Below are 9,371 nucleotides of genomic sequence, written 5' to 3'. Positions count from 1 at the left end.
GTATTATTTATAACTCATCTTGTTCTCAAGCCCCAGTCCAAGTGAAAGTGCAAGAAAAATCTTTGTATTGCCAGGGAAAAGCAAATCAGCCTTCTCCTGTTTAAGCACAGTCTCTTTCAGTCCATACTAGTTCCTTTTGTTAGATAATCTATCTATTCCTAGATTTCTACCAGGCTGCCTTTCTACCTTGAAAATGCCTCCCCTCTCAATCCTCCTTATCAAATGGCATTGGTTGAGGGGAAGTTCATGTACCATCAAAGCAGGGGCTGGGCACTGTGGCTCATGCCTGTAATCCTCGCAGTTCGGGAGGCTGAGATGGGAGGATCCTTTGAGCCTAGGAGTTCAAGACCAGTCTGGCCAACATGGCAAGACCTCGTCTCTACAAAAAAAATTTTTTTTTTTTTTGAGATGGAATCTCACTCTATCGCCCAGGCTGAAGTGCAATGACGCGATTTCGGCTCCCTGCAACCTCTGCCTCCTGGGTTCAAATGATTCTCCTGCCTCAGCCTCCCTAGTAGCTGGGATTACAGGTCTGCACCACTACACCCAGCTAATTTTTGTATTTTTAGTAGAGACAGGGTTTCGCCGTGTTGGCCAGGATGGTCTCAAACTCCTGACCTCAGGTGATCCACCCGCCTTGGCCTCCCAAAGTGCTGGAATTACAAGCCTGAGCCACCGTGCCCAGCCTACAATTTTTTTTTTAAGAAATTAGCTGAGTGTGGTAGCTCTCACCTGTAGTCCCAGCTACTTGGGAGGCTGAGGCAAAATGGTCACTTGAGCCCAGGAATTTGAGGCTACAGTGAGCTATGATGGCACCACTGCACTCCAGCCTAGGCAACAGAATGAGACCCTGTCTCAAGAAAAAAAAAAAAAGGCAGGTGTGGAGAAAAGACAGTGAAATGTGGCTTGGCTGCTCTGGCCTGGACATCAGTGCTGGAGATCATGGATGTGTAGCTTGTCCCACATGATTACTTTAGGCACTCTGTCAACATCAGCTGCTAAATTCTAAGGTTCCTTTTCCTGCCCTGGTCTCCAGTTGTAAAGTCCCTGTAACAAGCAGCTTTTATATTCTGACCCCAGGTCTTCTTTGGAATTTCAGTTCTCTTAGCTTTTCCATGTGCCCCATGGAGGCTTGTGTGAACTTTTGATTTTTTACAAAGATCTGCAGTTATTAGGGAATGCAGGCACTATCTTGGGCCCATTTGCCTAGAAACCTCCTCAACCATTTCAAAATTAGCACTTGGATGCAGTCATGTGTCTCTCGCCTTTACTGAATGGAGAGTGTTTTCAAAGGGGCTTTTGATTTCTTGGATTATGCACTGAGAAGTCAGGAGAAAGCACCCCTAGACTGAGTCCCAAAAACTTATTTGGACGTTTCTTCCCAGAAGGTGAACCTAAACCTTCCCCTCCCCCTTTCTTTCTTTTATTTTATTTTCTTTTTTTTTTTTTTTTTTGAGATGGAGTCTTGTTCTGTCGCCCAGGCTGGAGTGCAGTGGTGCAATCTCTGCTCACCGCAACCTCTGCCTCCTGGGTTCGACCGATTCTCCTGCCTGAGCCTATCAAGTAGCTGGGACTACAGGCACTCAACACCATGTCCACCTAATTTTTGTAATTTTAGTAGAGACAGGGTTTCACCACTTTGGCCAGGGTGGTCTCGAACTCCTGACCTCAGATGATCCACCCGCCTCGGCCTCCGAAAGTGCTGGCATGAGCCACCGCGCCCAGCCTTTTCCCCCTTTATTGCTTTTCTTTCTCCTCCTTCCCTGAGTCTTGGGCTCTCTAATTCCTTTTCATGATTTGGATCTTCTCTATACACAGCTTTATAATAAAACTCAATTTCCCAACATCTAAGCCTTGCTTTTGATATATGAAAGGATGCTTTTAAAATTCTGAAATCCTTTTCTTATAATAAAGTCTGACTTGCCAGGCCATTTTCTCATGACTGGTTTTAAGATCCTAGTTTGCTTTATAAAATCTGAAAATTGACTTTTTCATCCTATTTTCCATTTGTGACCTAACAGTCCACATTCTCTCCAGAGCAAATGGTTGCCTCAGAATAAAAAAAAAAAAAAAAAAGATAAAAAATCTCATTCCATCACTAGGAAAAGAAAAGCATATTAATATATTTTTAAAACGATTACTAGAGCTACTTCCTGAAAGCTGGTGAAGCACTCTTGTGCTAATTTTAAAAGGGAACCTCTTCCTCTGAGTGAATGCAGCCCACACCAGAGCTTTCAGCTTGGGGCACCAAGCTCAGATCCTACTTAATCCTCAGCCAAGTGTGCTGCGTGTGAGTAACCCGCATAACCACACATGGTAGTCCTGGATAGCGCCCAGGTAACACGTATATGTATTGCACAATTTTCCTCAGTAGACACCTGACACTGTTGTTTTCTTGATTATCTATTCTCTCCGGAAAGTTCCCACGCCAACCTCAGGGTGGTTCAAATAGTTTCGCTGCTGCTGTTTGAACATGCCCCTACTGCCAAAGGTGATAAGTGGAAAGAAGATGAAATTCAAGCTGATGGCTGGGCATAGTGGCTCATGCCTGTAATCCCAGAAATTTGGGAGGCTGAGGCAAGAGCATCACTTGAGGCCAGGAGTTCAAGACCAGCCTGGGCAACAGAGCGAGGCCTCATTTCTTAACAACAACAACAAAATCAGGCATGGTGGTGTGAGCCTGTAGTCCCAGCTACTTGGAAGGCTGAGATGGGAGGTTGAGGCTTCAGTACGCCACAGTGAGCTGTGACCATGCCACTGCACTCTAGCCTAAGCAACAGAGAGACACCCTGTCTCAAAAGAAAGAGGAAGAAGGAGGAGGAGGAGAAGGATGAGGAGGAGGAGGAGGAGGAGTAGGAGGAGGAGGAGGAGGAGAAGGAGGAGGAGGCAGTGGTGGCGGTGGCTGCTGGGGGCCGTGGCTCCCGCCTTTATCCCAGCACTTTGGGAGGCCGACGTGGGCAGATCACAAGGTCAGGAGTTCGAGATCAGCCTCGCCAACATAGTGAAACCCCGTCTCTACTAAAAATACAAAAATGAACCAGGCATGGTGGCACGTGCCTGTAGTCCCAGCTACTCGGGAGGCTGAGGCAGGAGAATCACTTGAACCTGGGAGGTGGAGGTTATAGTGAGCCCAGATCCGGCCGCCGCACTCCAGCCTGGGCAACAGAGCGAGGCTCCGTCTCAAAAAAATAAATAAAATAAAAATAAACTAAAAAAAGAAATTTAACTTGGACTAATCAGATTTTCTTTTTGCGAGATATGGGTTTGGAACGGAAGGATTTCAATCTCAGATTGGGCTTCTTGAATGCAGTAGAAGGGAAAACTTGGGATTTGAATTTACATGCTCTCCACCACTTAGAAAAGGCAGTGAAGAAAACCTTTAGGCAAAGAAACAAGACGTTTATTGAGAATGCTGCCAGGTTCCTGCTGTCCTTCCAAAGGATTCATTCTAGTACTTTCTTAGGACTGATTACTGATTGCATTTCTATTTTTGAGTTCTGTAAGCCTGAATTTTTATAATAAAATTTTTTTCTCCCACCCTCAACTGATGCTAGCTTGAGTCATTTTCTGTAACTTCCAACGAAAGAAACACTAACTTTATGTGGATTGTCATTTGTCTCTAGAACTGTTTTTTCAGAGACTAGGTCTTGCACTGTTGCCCAGGCTGGAGTGCAGTGATATTCACAAGTTCAGTCATTTCCCACAGCAGCCCGAACTCCTGGGCTCAGGTGGTCCTCTTGGCTCAGTCTCCTGAGTAGCTGGGACTACATTGAACTTTTATTTTCCCCCCACATCAGATGGGTGATATGCCAACATCCTAACAAGGTTTGATGGAGGCACATCTTACACATAGTGTGAAAACCCAATCATGCTTATGAACTATGAAAGGATCAGAATTTTAAATGTGTTTTGTGTTTAGTTGTATCAGAGTTCAGTCAGGAAACAAAAATTACTATAGATATTTCAGGCAGTGGGGGATTTAAAAAACCATTGGAAAAGTTTGAGGCTCAAAGCTCAGGGAAGACCATCACTAGCTCCCAGTTCACCACTAGGCTCAGAGAATGAGGTACTTGTTATACCTGGCCAGGTTAATTGCTCCAGAAACTGCTCTGTTACAAATGCTTACAATATCTTACTGAAGTTCAAAAGGGAGGTGGAGGAGGAGATGTTGGAAGAGATGTTGGTTCAGCAGCTTCCAAAATTAACAAGAGATTTACTCATCTAAAAACCATACTGGCCGGGCACAGTGGCTCATGCTTGTAATCCCAGTGTTTTGGGAGGCTGAGGTGGGCAGATCACTAGGTCAGGAGCTCGAGACCAGCCTGGCCAACATGGTGAAACCCCATCTCTACTAAAAATACAAAAAATTAGCTGGACGTGGTGGCAGGCACCTGTAATCCCAGCTACTTGGGTGGCTGAGGCAGGAGCATTGCTTGAACCCGGGAGGTGGAGTTTGCAGTGAGCCAAGACCATGCCACTGCACTCCAGCCTGGACAACAGAGCAAGACTCCATCTCAAAACAAAACAAAACAAAAACAAAAACAAAAAACCACAGCTGGGCACGGTGACTCATGCCTGTAATTCCAGCACTTTGGGAGGCCAAGGTGGGTGGATCACTTGAGATCAGGAGTTTGAGACCACCCTGGCCAACATGGTGAAACCCCGTCTCTACCAAAAAATACAAAAACTAGCTGGTCGTGGTGGCACGTGGCTGGAATCCCAGCTACTTGGGAGGCTGAGTCATGAGATTCACTTGAATTCGGGAGGTGGAGGTTGCAGTGAGCCAAGATCACGCCACTGCCCTCCAGCCTGGGCAACAGAGCAAGGCTCTGTCTCACCAAAAAAAAAAAGAAAAAAAAAGAAAAAGAAGCAAGGAGAGGAAATAATTGAGAGTTGTTGTAAAACCCTAGAATGTCAGTCAACTTACTGCTATGGACTGAATTGTGTCCATTCAAAATTCACATGTGGAAGTCCTAACCCCCAGTACCTTTAAAGATATGACTAAGATAAGGTCTTTAGGGTGGGGCCCTAATTCAATATAAGTGGTGTCCCTATAACAAGAAGAAGAGACACCAAATATGTGGGTGCAGGTGAGGGCACAGCAAGAAGGCAACTATCTACAAGCCAAGAAGAGAGACTTCAGGGAAACCAACCCTACTAACTTCTTGATCTTAGGCCTCCAGCCTCCAAAGCTGTGCGAAATAAATTTCTGTTGTTTAAGCCACCCAGTCTGTGATATTTTGTTATGGCAGCCCTAGTAGAGTAATATACTCCTCCCTACCCTGTTTTCACGGAGGAGGTGGTCATGTCACATAGTGGTGGTGGTGGTTGTGGCGGGTGCATGGGGTGGCAGGGGTTGGGGAGGCAGGCAGGTTTAGGGGGAAAACCTTGATTGCCTGACCCCTGGTTTCTTTCCACTAGTTCTCACTGCTGCTCTACATTCTTGTCTGTGGACCACTCACTTCCAATGTAATGTCCTAGGATGCCATATCGTGAATTAACTTTGCAGGATTCTGAAGTTCTCTCAGTATGTGGTGTGCTAGATAATAAGATCAGCAATTATGTACCAAAATAATCCAAATTATGATTTCGCCTGGAACATCTCTTAATTCTTCCAAAATGAGTCTTTATGATCGTCAGTGATCTGCTATTTCTGAGTGAGATACATGAAATTTCAATTTCTCTTCATGCATATGTGCCGAATTTTCAGTTACACACAGTTTTTCATGACCAAATTGATTAGTCTGACTAGACATCCATGAAATGAAATGTGCAAGGTCTGATTTAGCCCTAGGAATACATCATTAGGTATATACAGCCACTGTTTTTCCTTATTCTGTTGGGATTTCTTTGAAAGGCATTTCATTATAATTTATTTGCACAAAATCCACAGAAAAATACTAACTCAATGAAGAATATAATAGGTGCACATTATGGGAGAGAAGTTAGACTTAAAAAGTTAGCATGATGCCCTTAATTCAGTGTCACAGTGTCTACCTGCAATTCTTCTTCTTTTTTTTTTTTTTTTTGTGAGATGGAGTCTCGCTCTTGTTGCCCAGGCTAGAGTGCAATGGCGTGATCTCAGCTCACTGCAACCTCCGTCTCCCAGTTCAAGTGATTCTCTTGCCTCAGCCTCCTGAGTAGCTGGGATTACAGGCACCTGGCACCATGCCCGGCTAATTTTTGTATTTTTAGTAGAGACAGGGTTTCACCATGTTGGCCAGGCTGGTCTCAACTTCCTGACCTCAGGTGATCCGCCTGCCTTGGCCTCCCAAAGTGCTGGGATTACAGGCGTGAGCCACCGCACCCAGCCCTACCTGCAATTCTTAATGTTAACTCTTGAACTTTCACTCACTTATACTTTTCATCATACATCAAATACAACAAAAATATGTAGTTTTTCCCTTTTTATTATTCGAAGCAAGGAATTGTTTCCCTGCTTGCATTTTCTTTGTCCAGTTTCATTGAGATATACTTTATTTATTTATTCTGAGACAGGATCTTGCTTTGTCACCCAGACTTGAGCGAAGGGTCACCATCATAGCTCACTGCAACCTCAGCCTCCTGGGCTTCTCCTGCTTTAGCCTTCCGAATAGCTAGGGATGCCACCATGCCCAGCTCAGAGGTATAATTTAGTTGCAATAAAAGGCACAGATTTTTTTTTTTTTTTTTAGATGGAGTCTCACTCTGTAGTCCAGGCTGGAGTCCAGTGGCATGATCTTGGCTCACTGCAACCTCCGCCTCCCAGGTTCAAGTGATTCTCTTGCCTCAGCCACCTGAGTAGCTGGGATTACAGGTGTGCGCCACCACACCCGGCTAATTTTTGTATTTTTAATAGAGACGGGGTTTCACCACATTGGCCAGGCTGGTCTTGAACTCATGACTTCATGTGACCCACATGCCTGGGCCTCCCAAAGTGCTGGGATTACCGGCATGAGCCACCACGCCCGGCAAAAGGCATAGATTTTAAGTGTGCAATTCAATGTGATTTGACAAATGTATGTAGTTATGTAGCCCCCAGTACAGTGATGATATTGAACATTTCCTTTACCTCTAAAAGTTCACTTGCATCCCTTTGGTGTCACCCCACCACTACTCCAGCCTTTGGCAAAGTCTGATCTGATTTCTATCACTGTAATTTTGCCTTTTCTAAAATTTCTTAGAAGAGGAATCATACAGTAGGTTATTTTTTTATTTTATTTTTTAGTTTTATTTTTTTCTGAGACAGAGTTTTGCTCTCGTTTCCCAGGCTGGAGTGCAACGGCTCAATCTTGGCTCACCACAACCTCCACCTTGTGTGTTCAAGCAATTCTCCTGCCTCAGCCTCCCAAGTAGCTGGGACTACAGGTGCGTGCCACCACACCCAGCTAATTTTGTGTTTTTAGTAGAGACAGGGTTTCTCCATGTTGGTCAGGCTGGTCATGAACTCCCAACCTCAGGTGATCTGCCCGCCTCAGCCTCCCGAAGTGCTGGGATTACAGGTGTGAGCCACCGTGCCGTTTTTTTTTGTTTGTTTGCTTTCTTTTTTTGAGATAAGAATCTCCCTCTGTCCCCCAGGCTGGACTGCAGTGGCATGATCTCAGCTCACTGCAACCTCTGCCTCTTGGGTTCAAGCAATTCTCCTGCCTCAGCTGCCTAAGTACCACGCCCGGCTAATTTTTGTATTTTATTTTTAGTAGAGATAGGGTTTCCCCGTGTTGGCCAGGCTGGTGTCGAACTTCTGGCCTCAAGTGGTCGGCCCACATTGACCTCCCAAAGTGCTGGGATTACAGATATGAGCCACTGTGCCCAGTCCGTGCCTAGCTACTTGAAAAAAACATACATGTTGTAGAGAGAGCCTGTTGCTCAGACTAGTCTCAAACTCGTAGGCTCAAGTGATCCTCCTGGTTCAGCCTCCCAAAATGCTGGGATTACAGGTGTGAGCCACTGTGCCCAGCCTTTTGGCTTGTTTTAAAAAACTGGTTTGTCATCTTATTACTGAACTGTAAGAGTTGTTTATATATTAGGGTACAACTCCTTTATCAAGATATTTGTTTTGCAGATATTTTCTCCCAGGTTTTGGTTTTCCTCGTCTTCCTTCTTTCTTTTTCTCCTCCTCCTCCTCCCCCCGCTCCCTCTCTCCCTCCTCCTTTTTCTTTTCTCCTCCTCCTCCTTCTTCTCCCTTCTCCTCCTTCTCCTTTTTCTTCCTCCTCCTCCTCCTCCCCCTCCTCTTCCACCCCTTTCTCCTCTCCTTCCTCCTACTCCTGTTCCTCCTGCTCCTGTTCCTCCTCACCTTTAAGGCATGAGGGATAAGTTCTTTTAGTGAACTTTACATGAGCCACAAATATTTGTACAAGTTTGCACTGTCCACTGGATTTTGGAAAGATCACTGTATTAGTCCATTCTAGCACTGCTATAAAGAACTATCTGAGACTGGGTAATTCATAAAGAAAAGAGGTTTAATTGGTTCCTGGCTCTGAAGGCTGTACCAGAAGCATAGCTGCTTCTGCTTCTGGGAGGCTTCAGGAAGCTTCCAAAATGGCAGGAAGGCAAAGGGGAAGAGAAATGTCTCATGTGGCAGGAGGGGAGCAGGAGGCAGGCGGGGAGGTGTCATATACATTTATTTCATTTTTTAGACATGGTTTCCTTCTGTCACCCAGGCTAGAGTGCAGTGCTGTGATCTTGGCTCACTGCAATCTGTGCCTTCCAGGCTCAAGCAATCCTCCTACTTCAGCCTCCCAAGTAGCTGAGTCTACAGGTGCTCACTACCACACCTGGCTAATTTTTCGTGTTTTTTGTAGAGACGGGTTTTTGCCATGTTGCTCGGGGTGGTCTGGAACTCAAGCGGGAGTAGTTCGTCATGTTGGTCTCCCATTTTGGGAGTCAAGTGGATTCTCCCACCTTGGTCTCCCAAAGTGCTGGGATTACAGGCACAAGCCACTGCACTGGGCTGTCATACACTTTTAAATGACCAGATCTCAGGAGAACTCACTCGAGATCATAAGGAGAGTTCCAACAGGATGCTGCATAACCATTCGTGAGAAATCTGCTCCATGATCCACTCCCGCTTCCCCCAGGTCCCAACTCCAACATTAGGGATTACAATTCAACATGAGATTTGGCAGGGATGCAGATCCAAACCATATCAATCAGTAACCTAGGAAACTTGACGGCATTTTCAGTGCCCTTAGCTAAACTCCTTAACCTATCTAAGCTTAAATTTCCTTATTTGATAAGGAAGGAAAATAATATTTATATTATCTGTCTCTCAGAGTTGTGAGAAGAAATCTGACAGTACTTTTTATTTGTATTTATCATCATCATCATTATTATTCATTCATTGCTCAACTGCATGGACAGTACGTTGAAAATAGTAAATTAGTATCACCTCC

At 45.1% G+C, this 9,371-nt stretch overlaps 1 non-coding gene across 1 annotated transcript; it reads right to left on the bottom strand.

Moving 5' to 3' along the window:
* Positions 1–3,791: 3,791 nt before the first annotated feature.
* LOC124902581 (small nucleolar RNA U13) lies at positions 3,792–3,891 on the bottom strand. The gene has a single exon (XR_007062414.1). It is a non-coding gene; the product is annotated as a small nucleolar RNA U13 (small nucleolar RNA).

The sequence above is a fragment of the Homo sapiens genome, chromosome 10 (genome assembly GCF_000001405.40).
Source record: "Homo sapiens chromosome 10, GRCh38.p14 Primary Assembly".
Taxonomy (NCBI): domain Eukaryota; kingdom Metazoa; phylum Chordata; class Mammalia; order Primates; family Hominidae; genus Homo; species Homo sapiens.
This window is presented reverse-complemented; position numbering and strand designations above follow the sequence as displayed.